A 20483-nucleotide genomic window follows, 5' to 3' on the forward strand; every position below is an offset into this window, starting at 1 on the left:
TTTAATTCCAGAAGATATTTTATTGTCATATATGTTGGTGGTAACATAAATTGTTGAGCATCAAAGTGATATAAAAATTTTTGTATTTCTCTAATAAGACTAGTAAATAATATGTATTGGTGAAATTTTTTTCTTTAGTTGGGAAAAAGAAAAATCTTATTCAGTATTATTTTGCCATCTTACGATTTATGTCATATGCTTTATTTCATAATTAATTAGTCTTGAAATGATGATATTTTGTCCTCTTCCACATACCATTGCCTCATTATTTGTATGCTTTCAAGTCATGTTTCAGAGGCTAAGTTAGTGTTGGGTTTAACTATAAATTTCTTTACATCTAGATATTAGTGCATTAGCTAAAAGTTTTATTTTCAGTTTCTTCAAGTTGGAGAATTCAGACACTTGTAATTTGAGCGCAAAGATCCCTCAAAGTTATGATTATTTTTCCAATACTTTTAGTTGTCTTTAAAGGAACTCACTTTCAAATCTTTTAAAACATTCCATTTTAAGTATGTTAGAAACAGCTTTAAAAAATTTTGTTCTTACATTTGCACTTGGATTTATGAGCTTATGTGATATTTAGCAATGTAAAAGTATAAATGACATAAACAGGTTTAGAAAAAATACAACTAACTGTTGTTAAGCATGTGACTTGACTAGTGGGAGTAGAAGCGTGGCCAATTGCTGATTGTGGGATGCTAGTGTTTTACAAAGGAAATGGAGAATTAGTTAATTCTGGCAAATCCGTCAGGCAGAAGTCATTTGATGAGCATACCTATTATGTAAATAACATAAATAGGATTTCTTTGAGGCAGTATTTTATATGTTAATTTATTTATCTTCAATTCATTCATCTCTGAGTGATTTTTAAGTTGGATTACTTTTTATAGAAATGGAAACTTTTAAATATAGACTTAGTATATCTTTGTTAGGAGACTTCTAATCTTTTCACCCAGAATAAATTGGTTAATTTTATATGGGAAGTCTGTGGGCTGTAGAGCCCAGACCACAGTATATTGAATCCCAGCCCTGAAATATAGTATCTAAGTAATCTTTGGAAGGACACATCTCAATTATTTGTAAAACGGGTATACAAGTGCTGCCTGCTACCACTGTATATAGGATTGTAGCTGTATTTTTCCTCTGTAATTTTCTTTATTTTCTGAACTTGTATTGTGAATGTATTGTATGTGTAACTAGAAAGATACATTAAACACATGTAATGTCAAAAACCTCAGTTAAGTGAGGGGAGCAAAAGAGGAGAAATGCATTGAACAGTCTGTTTTTAAAGGATTAATTGAGATAAGTTTTCTATGGCATATTCACCTTGGTTAGTATTAACTAGGAAGAATGACTTTATCATACTTAAGTCTTGATTGTATTTTTATATTGGTAGATTTCATTTTAGTATGTCACTTTTATTGGAAAGTTGTCCCTGATTTTTGCCATTGAAAAATATTTCTTCTGAGTTCACTTCTAAGATTTTATCATTTTCTACTCCTCTTCTTTTTGCAATATAATACTTTATATGTTCACATTTTTCCACATTCACATTTTTTAGTTTCCTTATAAATTTTATACATTGTAGTGGATAATGAATAACTTCTTTCTTTCCAGAATGTTTTAGTACTACTAATATTTTGTTCCCAAGGGAATAATTAATATGCTTAGAAAATTATGAACACCAAATTATGGTCCTGTACACTTCAGGAAATTGTTTAAGAAGAGCAAGGAAAAAAAACCCTTATGTTCAGAAGTTTGGGATAAAAGAAAGTAAATTGTTCTTATCAGGCCATTCAAAAACAAAGAGTCAGAAACAAAGGGAGAACAATTTAAAGGATTTTAATTGTGAATCTGCAAAGCAGCCATCTTACCTATTATAGTCAGTTTATTTGTTTACTTGGGTTTTTATTTCTCTGTTTATTTTTAGGATGTTTATAGAGTTCTTGTTTTTAACCATTCTTGAATTTTACTAGTTAAAGCTAGTGTTGCATAAAATTAAAAAAAAAACACACTCTTAATTTTTGCCTTTAAAAAATAATTAGAGGTACACTTTACCATGATTCTTTAAAAGCCTAATCAGATATGTACTATACTACCAAAGGACCTCTAATTTCTCAAAGGCAGAAATTGTGTCTTACCTCATCCACAATACAATAAGCACATCCTTGTACGGAACAAGGTCAATAAATATTTGTTGAATGAAATGTATCATATTGTAACATCTCCGAAAATTCAAGCATTTATTTATATTATGACCAACTAGAATGTTATGGAAAATAAAGCCAGATAATGTTTCTACAATTGTATTTACTTTTTCTCTAGATGTATTTTAAGACATTATTAAATTTTTTTTAAACAAAGCACTGTTTTTGTCCTTAAGTAATTAACATCAAAGGACAGAATGTTACCTGCCAACACTTGTAAAATTTTGCCCATTGACCTCATTTATCCCTTAAGAGGGAATTCTCCATCTAAGAGAAATCATAGGGCACAGTGGACAAAATGACTGGATAGATACACAGCCTACATTAAAGCTTTCCTTAGCTCTGCTCCTAAACTCATCATTAGGAAGGACTTGGAAATTTTTATTTATTGCCCTATATCACTTTTCCTAATTATAAAGTCAGAAGTAGTGAAAGATGAATAAAATAGTGTTACCATTTGATCATGTGATATTGTGACTCAGTAAAAATGATCATGTTACTGTAACACTGTTATGCTGATTATCTGCAACAAGGAATTAAATTCATCCTTACCTATAATAGGTGAAATGGGTCTTTTTCTGAATATACTATTTCTGGTATTCTCTTAAGTAACGTACAGCTCACAAAATGACTTTTTTTTCCTTTTAAAAAGTAATCTAAAAATAAAATGGCAAAAAAAAATTCAGGAACAATGTAGCTTAGTTCTATTTTTGGAGCATAAAAATGGAACTGCCTCCTCTTCTTCCAACATTCTGCCAGGTGTCTGTAGAAACAAATGCAAATTACCAACCTTTGTCTCTCAGTCAAAACACAGCTCCTTTTCCTCTGAGCAAGCTCATGTTGACCTCTTGGAATCCACTCACTTTCCTTCTTGTCAGATTCCATCTTCCTCATTTTGCTTTTGTTTGCACCTAGATTCTTTGCATAGCTGAATGTTTAGAAAGACTCAAAACAGCATTTTGTCAGAATGTATCTACTTCCTTACAATACAGAGACATAGAAAAAAAAGACTGATGATGGCTTTTAACAGTTAAATGGCAAAACATACCTATATAAACTTTATCTTACTTTATATAACAAACGTTTATCATGTTACTTCATTTGATCCCCACAATTGCCTTATGAATAGATTGGACAGATGTTATTATCCTCATTTAATCAGTCAAAATCAAGAGCTAGACTCACAGCCAAGACTTATGGTTTCAAACCCAGCAATTTTGTAGATTACATGATGTACATTATGTAAATGCTCCTTCTAAGGAATTCACTTTAGTGTTTCCATCAGATGGTTTTTAGGCCCTGAAGTACATCTAGCTAAAGAAACTAATTTAGGTTTTCTAATTTATTTAATCATTACCACATAATACTGACTTAATGAGGTTGCAATTTGATGTCAAATGATCTATTAAAGAATTGATCATACATAGCCAGAGTATTTTTTATGTAGACTCAACTTGATCATTGCATACATAAAAAAAATTATATCAGTATCTTCCATATAAACATGGATCGATACATTTGCAAGAACTATTCATTTTTCAGCTCTTTGTTCATTGTGGTCTAATTCTTTATTTGTTACAACAGCTAAATATTATCTTCTTGGTGATCACATTGTGCAAAATGGTGAAGCATTCAAACACTTTGAAACCAGATTCTAGCAGGTTGGAAAACATTAAGTAAGTATTTTGTATTTTAATTTTAATACTTGACAAACTAAGTAAAAGATACTCTCCACAGGGAACACAGGGATTTCTACCTTCTATCAACTGTAGAAATTATTCAGAATGAAGTTTTACTGCCCTCAAGTTGAATCTCAGTGTTACTATATCACTGATACTGGTCAAAAATTAGATAATAATTGCTGTCTTGATCTAGAGCCAATAAATTGTTTCAGTGGCTTTGTGGAAATTCCATATCACTGTAGCAATTTCATTTGAATTTAAAATGCAGTTCAAAATGATTTTCGTATTTGCATGGCTGATATGATTATATTAAGTTTGTTTTGTTAAATGACTTTTTGCTTTAAGGATTCTGAGCAGTTTCCACTCCTAATCCTGTTTTCCTAAGAGAATTTACTCTATTACTATTGTTAACTTGAAGATTATCTGTTGTTTTCATGCTAAACAAATATTTACTTTTTCTTAATGTTGAATAAAAGCTGCAATATTCTGTCAATGGAGAAAATGCTATCTAATTAACAACAAATGATAGCTGTTGTTCATTAAATCATCTTATGGAAACATTTTCAGAGTTACCTTTAAAATATGTGAGCCTTGTAATTTAGAATTTGAGAAGGTATTATTCAAGTTGGTTATAATGTGATTGTAAAAAATACTATTTTTAATGTCAAAAATGGCAGATCTATAGTAAGGGTAAATTTTTTTTTAATTAGATGTTTTAGATAGGTTAGTGCCAGCTTCATTGCATGTTGCATGGTAAGAGAGAGAGCTAATCTTTAGCATCTCTCTCTTTTCTTCCTTTTCCTCTTTCTGTCTTCTCATCTACACCAGTAATTACCGTGTTTGTGATGGCTACTATAATACGGACTTACCTGGGTAAGGTAGAACCCTACATTAACAAATTTATGGCATGATTTGTATTTTTTACAAATTCGTCAGTATCATGAATTGCCCTTAATTTTTATAATTATTTTGAAATATCTAATTTGCTATAGTATTTTTAAACTATAATATGCCTTTATTTTTTAATTGCTTGCCTCTGCATTTTGACTTTCTTAATTTTGACTAATTTATAAAATATATAAATGCTTTCTTATTACTTTCTATTTTAATTCTGTCTAATAATTTTGTTTCTCTTTTCTGCTTATAATGCTTTCTAGCTATGAAGATAATAAGCCATTTATCAAGTAAGATCATTAGTTAGACATGGAATGCACTGACTTTAAATCCTTCTCATTCCGTCCTATTTTCTACAGTTCTTTTCTTCTTAAGCTGTTCATGACGAAATCTCTCCAAAATTATTTTATTTTGAAGTTGTTCTCATGTTTTTGTCTCATTTCAGCTAGGCTTCTTCATGCTTTAGTTATAAAACCTTAGGTTCACCTAAGACTAGTTTATTAGAATCTGAAGTTTAGGTGTTAAGTGATTATCTGCCATTTAACCTTTCTGTATGTGTCACATTATTTAGTGTCATGTGAGTACACCATAGGAATAAAAATACAGGAGTAAATTAATTAAGCACTCCTTAATTTCTTTTATCAAAATGCACATAAAAGACAAAGTCATAGGGGATATGTTACACGTTGTATTTTAATATAGTTTTGATACTTTGTTTATTCTGGAATAAGAAAAGGTCATACCTGCTGTTGCTGTTTTCACTGGAGGCTGCAGTACTAAATGCTATTGTTCTTTCTTAATCAGAGAAAGGTTAAAACCAAAATGCTGTTGAATATGAATGTGAACATAGAGAAAGTCAACTGCTACTACTGATATGTTAACATTTAAGCGTGATGTGTGTTTTTTGCTCATTGAACCTGTTAAAAAAGTTCACTTTATTTTTCCAGGTCTTGGGTGCTTGGCGCTTTCGCTCTTCTGTGTCTTCTTGGCCTCACCTGGTCCTTTGGGTTGCTTTTTATTAATGAGGAGACTATTGTGATGGCATATCTCTTCACTATATTTAATGCTTTCCAGGGAGTGTTCATTTTCATCTTTCACTGTGCTCTCCAAAAGAAAGTAAGTAATTGAAAACACCTAGGGGCTCAGGTTACTCATTCTTTGATTTGAATATAATAGATATAATAAAGAATATTTTAAGTCACATCTGGCATATTGTTAAAGAGCATTATATTTTTAATTATAAGTTAATTTTCATACCTGTCTGAAAATTTAGGTTTCACCTATAAAATAATACCAGTCATCTTTTGTATCTCAGTTTGGGAATGTTATAAACTAGATACTTAGGTTAAGATTTCTTCCTTGCTCGTAGGGTCTATAAAATGCTAGGTACAAAGGATATACAAGGTAAAAGAAAAGGTTAAATAAAACTCATTCTTTGCTCACTAAAGGCATTACAGTGATTCACAGTGAAATGGAGTATAAGGATAAATGATGTTAATTTTTAAAGCACCAGACATACAAAAAATTAATGTTACCTTTTGAGTAATTTTGAAGGATCTAAAAATCAATAATTAGTACCTTACATCTTACTTACTGTTTTTTCCTGATTTTATGTTAAGTGGAGTCAGATGAAACTTACAGATGAAAAGCTTTAATCTGTAGCAAGAAGATGTAAACCTAAGGGAATTGCTTAGGTGCTATTTAAGTATAAAATTTCCATACCTTTCACTGGGTATCATCCTTTCTCTGCCTACATATCTAATGTAGTCGTTTTATTCTGTTATTACTAGTTGGTCACTAAATTGAACAGAGAAATAGAATTGTGGAAGTGAAAGCTATTATGTTTTCAGTCCTGACAAGACGATAGTGTTGTTACTTCCATCAGTTTTGAATAAGCTATAATTTTGAGATAATGACAGTGGAATGTGCAATACTGACAGATAATGTATATTCACAGCAATATAGGCATTAGGCAAAACCAACACTGGAAGGTATTATTTGGATAAAATACCATTTTGATTGCCATTGTCTTGGTTATACAGCATTTCATAGCAGTTAACACCCATTAAATGTGTTGAAATCTTTTGTGAGGTATGATGTGTTATTTAATAACAATGAACTTTAACTTCTAAACATTGTACAGGGGTAACATTAGTAATTACTTTGGCTTTTATATATTTCCTACATAAGTGAGCATTTTATTATTGTATGTTCATAATTTTTGTGCTGTTGTGCCAAACATCTTTGACACAAATCATAGACATAGCAGAAAAGGAGTGAGGTAGTCATTATTTCCTCATATAGTTATGTGTATTAAATGGAACAGGAGAGTCTCTTATGCTTTTTAGATTTAACAATTACATTTTAAATGCATCATGTTATACTTCAAAAGAAGTATAACTTAGTCTTGGATACATCCAGTTGGGTGCGCCAGGATGAGTTGTTAAGAATATGATATAAAATGGTTAAGTTAAAATCATGGTTTTAACTGCTTGAATGAGCATACTTAGGCCAAGAAAATGCTTTGAAGACTCAACCACATTGTTATTTGTTCTAATAGGTATAACTAAATAAAGCTAAAAAGATGAAAATGTAAGTGCGCTTAGATTTAAAAGGCCATCTACTGATTTTTAATTTTCTAATTTTGCAAGGAATAAGTGTCAAAGTCATGGTCTTTACAGGCAGTTACTGCACACAGACTTCTGAGTTGAGGGAAAGCCTTTGAGTGTTTTTGTAACCTATTAGAAAAAATATTTTCTTATGCAGTTTCTTCTTGTCTGTCTTGTAATTTCACAGTCTGGCTCTAACCCACAAGAAAACATGTATATGCCAGTATAGCTGCAACAGTCCAGCAGCACCCTCTCCCTCTTAATTCTGTACCACTGCTTTAGATGGGGCCCTATTATTTAGCAGTTGTTCGGACTTCACTTTTTAAAGTTTAGTTGAAACTTTTTTTAGACCTAACAACTTTTTTTTTGCATTCATATATTCAAGCTTCAGGGGAAAAGGGAAATTACATGGGTAACTCATTAATGTGAATGAAAATTGCATAAATAGTTCCCTTGTGTGCTAATGAAGTGAATAGACATCTTAGACTCTCTACACTAAATGTTAAAGCTAGACACATCAGAAAATGAAGAAAACATTCCTTCCTAATTAGAGGCAAATGTATCAAAGTACTTGTTTTCTTTATTCTTGTGCCAAAGTAGTCTTGTCATTATACAGAGGTTACCCGCAGAACTATGCAATCCAGCAAAAGAGGTTTCTGTATTGACCTACCTAAGAGGACATGAAGCATATAAAACTCAAATGACTGAATTACAGAGCGGTTAAATGTAATTAAGCAAGGAAAATACTAAATTTTTTGTCCTGTTTTCTTAGCATAAAAAATTGGAGTTACTAAATATATGAGAATAAAACTATAAATATATTGCTATTATTTAATAACTAACATTTATATAATAACAGGATATAGAGTATGTCTACATGTTATATCACATTTTAAAGACTCTACTAGCCAGTCTAGTGGACAGAGATACTTTTCTGATTACTATTTCAGTAATTTTAATTGAACTTGATTTTGCAAGTTCAATTTATTTTCTCCACGGATAAGTTTTAGTGGAACTTTAATTCTTTTCGGTTGTCTTCACTGTTCATTTAATTAGAGAGAGAGAAGCAAGTGTGTTATATTAATCCCTTGGTCTTGTGATTATTCAATGCAGGTACGAAAAGAATATGGCAAGTGCTTCAGACACTCATACTGCTGTGGAGGCCTCCCAACTGAGAGTCCCCACAGTTCAGTGAAGGCATCAACCACCAGAACCAGTGCTCGCTATTCCTCTGGCACACAGGTAACAAAGAGTTTGACAGCATCTTTAATTAACCTTATTTATAGAAAACCTACTGAGACATGTTCTGTTCAGATGCACTAATTGTCTTCTCATTATAATGATCTAGATAGCAAATACTTGCTTTTTTAGTATTTTGGTTTCAATGTCTTCTTAAACATTTCTTCAGTGTTTCTTTATATGTGAACGTCCTTTTTTGTGGAGAGTTATTTAAGAAGTGTGTCATAATCGTCTTATAGCCTAAGGCCATATAGCACAATGCTCATAGCAGGCACTCAATAAACATATATTGAATAATCAGTGATCTCCACTCTTTAAAGAAAGACAATAAAGTAACATGTTTTTAAGAGTGGAGGATTAAATGCCCCTTAGTTGCTTAGTAAATAAACAATAGATATTGTTAGTTTTAGACCAGAAAAAACACACATTCTTTAAAAGGCCACCAGATAATCCTACATAGGTTGTTTAGGGTAAATCCTTGTATGTCTTTAATAAGGTAAGTTTGGGGAAACTAACAAAACATATTTGTCTTGCTGTTTTGTATTAATAGAGTCGTATAAGAAGAATGTGGAATGATACTGTGAGAAAACAATCAGAATCTTCTTTTATCTCAGGTGACATCAATAGCACTTCAACACTTAATCAAGGTCAGTTATCAGGAAAATTTGAGTTACTACCATTTATTAAAGTACATATAAGTTCCTTTTATTCAATAATGTAATGTAAGAAATATAATTTTAAACTGCATTAACAGGATGCGGCTCGAAGGTAATTATTGAAAATATACCTTGCCACAGATTAAAAATATTATCCTAGGGAGTACAGATTTATCCTTTCTGACCAAGACATTTATGAAGGTTTTCTTCATAAAACATTAATAAAATTAGAATAGTTACTATTCACATGAAACAGTACCATGGAAATTATGAACTTTTTTAACCTTTCTTTCAAAAAGTAAAAAATAAATGCTAAAAACATGTGTAGTAAATCTTCATAAACAAAAATACATGAAAGTTTATAAAGTAATTATTTCTATATTGTTTGATGTGTCTACAGTGGCATCTTTAAATTTATCAGATAAATCAGTATAGTTCTTAAAATATGCTAGGAAATGAAGTAATTTAGAAAAGAGTATATGCACACACATGTATTCTTGAATAAAAGCTTAATACATTCCAATTTAGTATGAAAAATTATATGGTATTGTATATATCCTTGGAAAGGTAATTTATTACACTATTTTCAGTTTGATATGTACTGATTTGTAATACAAGTTAGAATTTATTACAATGAAATATAATGACATTTTAAACTGTTGACATTGTTCTAGTGAGATTCTCATTTAAAATGGAAAAAGGTGTATGTGTGGTAGCAATACTAACCTGAATTTTAAGATATTTTTATCCAAATTACATTAGCTATGCAAAACATAATCAGTAAGTATTTAAAAGTTTGTAATTTGTCAGTTAGAATGAAAGACGTGCATTTCTTCTGTTGCTTTGGTATTTTACTTCATTCTGTTGGCGATCAAAAAGTAAATGCATTATTCAATGATTCATTTTTGAAACCTGGCAAATAACATTACATAATGAAAATTCTTGTTATATAGAATTTGTGAATGATCTAATAATTCATTTTATAGTCTTTTTTTTCTCAGCATGTGTGCTTTTGCATTTACTAAGAGAAGCTTTTTGCAATGTGTCATACTTTCTACCTGTCTGTGAAAGTTGTTTTCCTCCTGCTCAGTTGGTATTAACACAGATGTTTTCATGAGGGATAATCCCACACCTGTAAATTCTGAAAGTTTGAGATTCCCTCTTCTGGGCCTCAGTGGTTACGTTTTTAATATTAAGCAGTAACATCTTGAAACATAATGTTGATCTCTATGCATTTAATTGCCATTTTTGTTTAACAGTGCTTTTGTATAAATTAGTAAATGTCATCCTCAGCAGGTGTTTACTTGGGGGATTTAGAAAGCACCTGTGAATTACTGAAATTTAACTTCCCTCTCCCTTCTCTCCTGCAAATTAGTAGTTCAAATACAGTCAGAACATTTCAACAGATTTTCCATTGCCAACTTGTCCACTACCCTTGATGAATATAAAAAAAATAGTTGACTACAACTGTAACACTAAAATAAGAAACTGATGTACTTTTCTCTGTTTTTTTGTTGTTTTTTTTTTTTACTTTAGGAATGACTGGCAATTACCTACTAACAAACCCTCTTCTTCGACCCCACGGCACTAACAACCCCTATAACACATTGCTCGCTGAAACAGTTGTATGTAATGCCCCTTCAGCTCCTGTATTTAACTCACCAGGTGTGCTTTACTTACAAATAAAACTACCTTTCTTTGCTGCTAAACAGAGCTATGATCTTTGCCCTGTTTCTAAAATATTCAAGTTGTCATATATTTATTGTTACATTCTTAATTTCTCAGTTAAAAAAAATTACGGTATTGTCTATGCCAGGCTTCTAAAACTGCACTATATTATAGTAAAAGCTCAGTCATGATAGTATTTACAATAATGATCCATGTTTTTAACACAGGTGGCATAAATCTTAATATATTATTACAGGACTGACATCACATGGTCTGAGAGCCCATCTTCAAGATTTATATCATTTAGAGGTATCCTATCTATATAATATACTGTTCAGTTAATTCTAAAGCTTGCTGACAAAATTTGCTTCTGGAATGAATTAGCTAATGAAGATAATTTGGATGCCTAGCTATAGAAAACCACATTCAGCCTATCAATATATCCAAACTATAGTATAGTGCAGCTTTATGGTAGTTTTCTTTTTTCTTAAGAAAAATTTCAGAATAAAGTTAATATTAGTTAGCTTATACCTATAGTTTTTAATTGGGGGAGGGGGAAAGATTGTCACTAACCCATCCATATATTACTATGTTGTTTAATAGCTTATTTTAAATAAAAGTATATATATATTTAATATTAACAGAATTTTCAAGATTTTGGTAAAGTTTTCACATAATTACTGCTAGCATATAATCTTTATTTGTGATGAATATTTGCCACTAAATTAAACACAGAACTTGGTTTCCATTTTTTTCTTAAAATTATTTTTTAATGTAACTGCAGCTTCTCTTTTCATTCTCTTGTTTTTTTTCACTTTCCTTATGCTTTCCTCTAGCAACCTACAGAGAGACAAGTATGGGAGTAAAACTTAACTTTGCCTATCAAATGTAAATTTTTTCAGCATGATTTTTAACGGGCACAATTAAAACATAACTAGCAGTCATGAAGTAGACTCAGCGGGCAAGTGGTTCACAATTTGCAACTAAAATATTAACAAATTCAAACAGTACATCCATCTGTACTGCCTTTTGTCAGTAATGGAGGTCTGTAGCAAATGCTGTCCATACTTAAGTATACGCAATGCTGAAATAATTTGCTCTATAAAGCCTGAAGTACTGTCAACCAAAATGCTTAATAATTGACTTATCATTTCTGCATTCCCACAGTAATCTTGCTACAGGCTGTGGAAAATCTTCAAGTGAATTACCTGAACTTGGGCAGAAAAAGATAACCTCTTCAAAACCAGTCAAAGATGGCTTAAATCTGCAGTATATCATAGAAAAGACCTTTTGGATTATATCCAGTGTATAGTGTTGTATTTACCAAGCAATGATAAAACAAAAGAAAATCTTTGAAAACAGTGAACCTCTACAGAGGAAACAAATGCTAGCAAGTGAGCCATGTGTCACTCATACCTTTAAGTGCGAAATGGTTTTTTTTTTAATAATCTTATAAAGATTATAGCACATAACATGAATTTATGAAGCTAGAGAATTGTGTCTACCAAGTTAAAGGAAGCCTTACAAATAACTATCACAATTTCATTTTGTTGCACATGGAACATGATACAAATTTGTCAGTTTTTCAGATGTAGAAGTTGGGACAGTCTTTAAGACAATACAAATCACTAACAAATATAATCTCTCATTTTCTCATTTTTTTGCTAATGATAATTTGCCCAACAATGATCACATATTTATTGGTCATGAAGTTTGTGTCAGGTGATACAGATATTTTTTTTTTCTGAAGGAAACTGCATTTTCTAGGATATCTGCAGCTTTAAGAGTGGAGTGAGCACTAAAACGGGAAATTTCGTATTTTTTTCCAAGAATTAAATTTTTTCCTAAACTCCTCCAAGCCTTGCATACAATGCAGCAGCCTCACAGTGGTCAGCTTCATTTCAATAACATCATTTCATTCTTTTTTTTTACAGACCTATCTGTAGACTGTGATTTTTTTTTTTCTCTAGGATTTTGAGAATGAATAACCTAACTTTCCATGGTGCAGACCATTTAATTTTCTCTTGACTTTTTTTTTCATTTGCTTGAGAAGCACTGTGATGTCTTAGTTTACATGTTTATGTGTCTGTAGAAAATACAACTCTGATTCAAATAGAGCATGTTACCATGTTTTATTTCCCCCTCCTAAACCTCTTTTCCTATCTTCAGCAGACTTATCCAGTCTTTCATTCCTTTAGAGATAAAAATATATTAGCCAAGGCTGCCACCCTTCTCCCATTCCATAGTTAATATTTATTCTTGGTTTAATTTCTGTGACCCATACTTAAGAAATCTCTAACATTTCTGCGTTTGACCTCCATGGCCATGGTGTCTGTGGGCCTATCTTGTACAGTGGACTCTGCTGGTTCATTCGGTGCTGTCACTGTGACTGATGCAGACTGCAGGGCTGCAGGCAAACTTTGACCACTAGAAGCCTGGGGCCATTGCTATTAGAGAGATTATTAGTACCAAATACTCAAAATAATAAATATTAAATGAAAAATAAAAGGCTGCTATTGCTGGTAATCTAATTTGTTGAACCCTTGCTCTGACTAAGTTGCTGAGAAGCTTAGAAATTCTTCATCATGTTACAATAAATCATTTTACTTTCTTTTATATATCAGCTACTCTTAGGCCAGATAGCCTGAGCAGACAGACATGATGTGAGTTGTCCAAAGTGAGTCATTCCACCTGCTGTCTATCGTGATGTTGGATGGTGCTTGTGGGCCCCTGGTCCAGTCAGTATGAGAGATGGCTGTCTTTGTTTAACATGACTTCTTTGTATCTGTCCATGTTTTCATTCTTTTTTTTACTTCATCTCCAGAAAAAGGAAATGTTAGAATGTTGTTTAAAAAGTTGCTTGCCAGTTATGTGGGTTTATGTTGTACATTTGCCTTTCAGTTTTGTATTGTGACTTACTCCTTTTTAATTTAGTGTTGTTTAGGACAAATTCTGTTAATTTTATTTTTATAAACCATAGTCTTGTACTTTAAAATGTAAATGTCACTAATGAATTGCTTTGCATTAACTATGCAAGGGCATGGAGTGAAGTCTTCTTTGTGTCAGAGATTTGACCAAAATCAATTAATCAGTACTGTCTCCTGAAATTGATAAAGTATTACTCTGTATGCCATTTTCTCTCCCTGGAAAACAGTATTATTTTTAACACTTTTTCCTGTTATCTAAGGGGTTGCAACTATTTACAGTTGGGAATGCAGGAAAGCCTGGCACTTTTCAAGTGTTAGCTTTCAAATACAACTTTGTCCTGAACGACATTAAAAAGTTTTGTACAAAAGAAATAGAGTTTCTGTGGAAAGGAACAGAGACAGTAATGATAACTCCCCCTCTTCTGTTTCAGGACATTCACTGAACAATGCCAGGGATACAAGTGCCATGGATACTCTACCGCTAAATGGTAATTTTAACAACAGCTACTCGCTGCACAAGGGTGACTATAATGACAGCGTGCAAGTTGTGGACTGTGGACTAAGTCTGAATGATACTGCTTTTGAGAAAATGATCATTTCAGAATTAGTGCACAACAACTTACGGGGCAGCAGCAAGACTCACAACCTCGAGCTCACGCTACCAGTCAAACCTGTGATTGGAGGTAGCAGCAGTGAAGATGATGCTATTGTGGCAGATGCTTCATCTTTAATGCACAGCGACAACCCAGGGCTGGAGCTCCATCACAAAGAACTCGAGGCACCACTTATTCCTCAGCGGACTCACTCCCTTCTGTACCAACCCCAGAAGAAAGTGAAGTCCGAGGGAACTGACAGCTATGTCTCCCAACTGACAGCAGAGGCTGAAGATCACCTACAGTCCCCCAACAGAGACTCTCTTTATACAAGCATGCCCAATCTTAGAGACTCTCCCTATCCGGAGAGCAGCCCTGACATGGAAGAAGACCTCTCTCCCTCCAGGAGGAGTGAGAATGAGGACATTTACTATAAAAGCATGCCAAATCTTGGAGCTGGCCATCAGCTTCAGATGTGCTACCAGATCAGCAGGGGCAATAGTGATGGTTATATAATCCCCATTAACAAAGAAGGGTGTATTCCAGAAGGAGATGTTAGAGAAGGACAAATGCAGCTGGTTACAAGTCTTTAATCATACAGCTAAGGAATTCCAAGGGCCACATGCGAGTATTAATAAATAAAGACACCATTGGCCTGACGCAGCTCCCTCAAACTCTGCTTGAAGAGATGACTCTTGACCTGTGGTTCTCTGGTGTAAAAAAGATGACTGAACCTTGCAGTTCTGTGAATTTTTATAAAACATACAAAAACTTTGTATATACACAGAGTATACTAAAGTGAATTATTTGTTACAAAGAAAAGAGATGCCAGCCAGGTATTTTAAGATTCTGCTGCTGTTTAGAGAAATTGTGAAACAAGCAAAACAAAACTTTCCAGCCATTTTACTGCAGCAGTCTGTGAACTAAATTTGTAAATATGGCTGCACCATTTTTGTAGGCCTGCATTGTATTATATACAAGACGTAGGCTTTAAAATCCTGTGGGACAAATTTACTGTACCTTACTATTCCTGACAAGACTTGGAAAAGCAGGAGAGATATTCTGCATCAGTTTGCAGTTCACTGCAAATCTTTTACATTAAGGCAAAGATTGAAAACATGCTTAACCACTAGCAATCAAGCCACAGGCCTTATTTCATATGTTTCCTCAACTGTACAATGAACTATTCTCATGAAAAATGGCTAAAGAAATTATATTTTGTTCTATTGCTAGGGTAAAATAAATACATTTGTGTCCAACTGAAATATAATTGTCATTAAAATAATTTTAAAGAGTGAAGAAAATATTGTGAAAAGCTCTTGGTTGCACATGTTATGAAATGTTTTTTCTTACACTTTGTCATGGTAAGTTCTACTCATTTTCACTTCTTTTCCACTGTATACAGTGTTCTGCTTTGACAAAGTTGGTCTTTATTACTTACATTTAAATTTCTTATTGCCAAAAGAACGTGTTTTATGGGGAGAAACAAACTCTTTGAAGCCAGTTATGTCATGCCTTGCACAAAAGTGATGAAATCTAGAAAAGATTGTGTGTCACCCCTGTTTATTCTTGAACAGAGGGCAAAGAGGGCACTGGGCACTTCTCACAAACTTTCTAGTGAACAAAAGGTGCCTATTCTTTTTTAAAAAAATAAAATAAAACATAAATATTACTCTTCCATATTCCTTCTGCCTATATTTAGTAATTAATTTATTTTATGATAAAGTTCTAATGAAATGTAAATTGTTTCAGCAAAATTCTGCTTTTTTTTCATCCCTTTGTGTAAACCTGTTAATAATGAGCCCATCACTAATATCCAGTGTAAAGTTTAACACGGTTTGACAGTAAATAAATGTGAATTTTTTCAAGTAGTTAACATGTGAACTTTTATGTATGATACATAATTGGCTTTAACATGTTGGTCCATTCCCACCTTGGTTTAAGTAACGTCATACCAAAGTCCATGGATATATGAAAGGATACAATTAAGTTGCCTGTTTGTTCTTTATGCTGAAAGGAATATATGTCTTCCAATTGCCCACTACATATGCACAAAATCTGCTGGATAAGTTTTAAGAGGGATATATTCTGAAAGCATTTTTGTTTGTTGCATTGTACCAGGACTAAAAAAAGAAGGATTGGAAGTTCTGCCATCAAATTTGGGTATCATAAAAAGTTTTTAACTGATTTTTCAGCAGTATTGGGAAGTTTCTTAAACATACTTTAAGGATTATAAATATCCCTATAGACAGCTGTGAATACCAATATACATTACCCTGGAAAAGTTTTACTCCAAGTTCAAAAATCATATAATTGAATATCAAGAAATAGATGTTTTCTGTTTGTATCATAAGCATTTATAGAAAATTATTCTAAAGCTTAATGGTTTGCTATAATTCTCAAATACTACCACTAGCTTATAAATCACTTTTATGTGGACACACACATGCCTATTGAATTTAAAAAGGAATGAGATTTAAAAATTAAGTGCATATATATAATATACATATATATATATATATATATATATATATATTTTTTTTTTTTTTTTTTTTTTTTTTTTTTTTGGGACAGAGTGTCCCTCTGTCACCCAGGCTGGAGTGCAGTAGTGTGATCTCGGCTCACTGCAACCTCCGCCTCCCAGGTTCTCAAACAGATTTAACAATCCTCTGAGAATGGTACTCATTTATTTGGCTAAAATTCTTCAGGGATTTATAAACTACTTGCTAAAGGAGGGCATTAGATAATCAAGTATTTTTAATTTTCCATCTTGTTATACTTTTTATTTTAAATGCCTAAAACCATACAGTATTGTGTGATGTGTAATTCCTAGTATACAAGCTACCTAGAGTCAGGCTGGTTCAGTAATAAATTTTTTTAAAGGCAACACTGATTATTCAGTTAGTCCTATTTCTTTCTCTTGAGGCAGTTCTCAAAACTCTAAAGACATGAACACTGCATCGTACCTAAATGGCTACTGTTCTCTAACGTCTTTATCCTATGGATTCAATTTGGAAGCCATCATTGATCTTTGGCATCAAAAGAAAAGTCATTTTTAAAGCATTTCTTTTCAAAAATATATAAATATTGCCTTAAATTCCATCTAGGATTCCCTTAGTACAAGGTAGTTTCTTAGGTTTGTAATTACTAAACTACTGACTGTTTTAATGCAGATGCGTTATTGTATTTATTAACCCAGTTTCTTTGGGTCTGCCTAGACTTCACCTGAATGTACAGTTTTCACATTCTTGATTGTTTCTCTTTGTGATAGTCACAACTGTGAACTTATAAAGTCACATTTTTAAAGTTCTTCCTAGAGACATTCACTCTGTCTTTATTAAAAATAATAATAATAATAATAAACGTTATCTTGTTGGCCAGACTGGTCTCCAACTCCTGGTCTCAAGCAGTCCTCCCAGTTGGGCCCCTCAAAGTGTTGGGATTAGAGGTGTGAGTCACTGCGCCCAGCATTAGTCTATTCATAATAAGGATGTTTGTGTACATTTGTTTTATATGTGACTTGTTACAGGTTAGTCCAGATTGACCTCTTGTTTTTTAAAAAAGGCCGTTCTATTTGCAAAACACACACACACACAAGACCCACTTATAGTTTATCCATTTATATATTTTTGTCTTAGAGGTGTTTATATTCATTTATGTGGAAGAGAATCCATACAAATCTATAAATCACTTAAATATGTCCTCGATTTCCACTCATCCACATTTGAGGGCAGTGACATATAATATTTTAACCAGTAAAACATTATTTGACAGAAAATCACTGTCTTCTCCCCAAAAAGAAGAGAAGCATCATGCACAAATTTATTGCTAAATTTCAAAAAAAAATTAACATGCACTTGTTTTATGGATGTATTTACTATGCTTTATGTATTTATTTCAATGAGAAAAGAGAAAATGTATCTTTCCTTCAATTCAACATTGAACCTCAAGCTTAAAACTGACCTTTTAATGTCCTCTTGTGGGACAGGGAGTTTTGTAAACAATTTTAACTCAGTAAGTTACAACCTTCTAAGTAGAAAAACTTGGAGAAATTCACACTAGTTGAATTTTTGAAATGAAAATAGCTCTTTGTATTTTCTCCATACTGATATCTTTAAAGGCAGTCCTTCCTGCAGTATTTTACAAATAAAGCTTAGTACCTAGAGTTTACACAATCCTGTGTTCCAGCTAATTCTCTTTCCCCGAAATTATTTCATTAAATCTCAAATGTCAGTATGGAAAGTTACTGGCGTGTTGAATGTAGATGAGAATTACTTCTCAGCATAATAAAATTAGTTTTGTGTTTTTTTTTTTTTTGGTGAAAATGCCATATCGTATGCTTCCTGCTAGTGAGCACCAAGTTGATTGGGAGTAGTCCTTAAACAGCATGTATAGGGAGACTGGAAGCATTATAAAGAATGAGTGAATGGTAATGGGTTTGGAGATTAATTCGTGACAGCCTTAATTATTATTTGAATGGTTTGGAATTAGAACTTTCGGTTATGTCAGTTTTATTCTTTCTGCAAATGATTGTAGAAATGTATTGTGTTAGTTAAATGCACCAAGCAGAAATTTTTGAATGTTTAAGAAGGATATTGGACCCGGCGCAGTGGCTCACGCCTGTAATCCCAGCACTATGGGAAGCTGAGGCGGGCGGATCATCTGAGTTGGGGAGTTTGAGACCAGCATGGCTAACGTGGTGAAACCCCGTCTCTACTAAAATACAAAACTAGCTGGGCGTGGTGGCATGCACATGTAATCCCAGCACTATGGGAAGCTGAGGCGGGCGGATCATCTGAGTGCGGGAGTTTGAGACCAGCATGGCTAACATGGTGAAACCCCGTCTCTACTAAAATACAAAACTAGCTGGGCGTGGTGGCATGCACCTGTAATCCCAGCTGCTCAGGAGGCTGAGGCAGGAGAATTGATTGAACCTGGGAGGCAGAGGTTGCAATGAGCGGGGATCACGCCACTGCACTCCAGCCTAGGTGACAGAGTGAGACTCCATCTCCTAACAGTAAAAAAAAAGGAAAGATACCACATTTTTAACCAAAATGTACTTTATACATATTACTGATGCCTTATACAACGTATGGGACCAATGGGAACTCCTGGAAGTTATCCAAGTTCATTTCAAGGCACTATGGCCACTGAGTTTTCAAGGCCAGCATAACATATCTCTGTCAGAGGGCATTAATAAGCTGTAAGTGCACCGTGTAATTAGGCTAATTAAATGTACTACAAGCATTTTTCAAATATTAGCAATAGACCACTCCTCAGCTCTTAATAAGTCTTCTCTGGAGTCTTCCTTTTCCTGATGGCATTACTTTTACTGAGTGTTCAGTTTCTCAGAAGCCTTCAGAAGCTAGTTTGATTTTTAAATCCTGTTGTTTTTACTAGTGAAAATGTTCTGAATTAAAACATTGTGAAATGCTGTTAGGTATACTGGCATTTAACATTATGGATCACAATGAAATAAGAAACAACAAAAACAGGTAACAATACAGTTGAGCTCACCAAAACCTTACCTGCTGTGGGGAAAGAATACTGCCCCATGAATCTTTCACACGTTTCTCTATTATACACTTATCAAAGCTGTAAGACCAAAATCTCTTAGAAATCTTTAAAAGGCACAGTTAAGCAAGCCAATGTTGTGTGGGCATAAGAGACTAGTGATGAATGATCAATTGATGAATAGTTTTCTAAATGTGTTTTTCGCAAGCATTTTTAAATCACATGTTAGACGTAAGCTTTTTTAAAAGCATTGTGGAAATCACAGCAACATGGCTTTCTTGTTTGATTTTATTAGGCAAAAACGATGGATGGTTTGATATTCTCTTAGAAAGGCTGACAGCTACTATATAGAACCACTCAGGAACAATAATGATAGGTATCAACGATACTGATTAGATGAAAAATTCATTTATGTTTTTCTGCTGAATATCAATCTTAATAAATAGATGGCTTTTAAACCAAAACGTAGTACTAGCATACAGTAAATTCTTTTA

At 32.9% G+C, this 20483-nt stretch overlaps 1 protein-coding gene across 63 annotated transcripts in view; it reads left to right on the top strand.

Annotated features, from left to right (window-relative positions):
- Positions 1-17855, top strand: part of ADGRL2 (adhesion G protein-coupled receptor L2) — a 687801-nt gene extending 669946 nt beyond the window's left edge. For 23 of the 63 annotated variants that reach the window (XM_047416118.1, NM_001366003.2, NM_001366004.2 and 20 more), the window contains 6 exons: positions 3792-3883; positions 5731-5899; positions 8506-8634; positions 9182-9278; positions 10824-10952; positions 14314-17855. In XM_047416118.1, coding sequence (XP_047272074.1) covers positions 3792-3883; positions 5731-5899; positions 8506-8634; positions 9182-9278; positions 10824-10952; positions 14314-15068 — 1371 coding nt within the window. In that variant the 3' untranslated portion in view covers positions 15069-17855. Of the gene's footprint in view, positions 1-3791; positions 3884-4717; positions 4763-5730; positions 5900-8505; positions 8635-9181; positions 9279-10823; positions 10953-11182; positions 11265-11791; positions 11810-13579; positions 13633-14313 lie in introns of all 63 variants that reach the window. The other 40 variants (XM_047416140.1, XM_024454355.2, NM_001297704.3 and 37 more) reach the window with 11 other exon arrangements.
- The last annotated feature ends 2628 nt before the right edge of the window (positions 17856-20483 follow it).

The sequence above is a fragment of the Homo sapiens genome, chromosome 1 (genome assembly GCF_000001405.40).
Source record: "Homo sapiens chromosome 1, GRCh38.p14 Primary Assembly".
Lineage (NCBI taxonomy): Eukaryota > Metazoa > Chordata > Mammalia > Primates > Hominidae > Homo > Homo sapiens.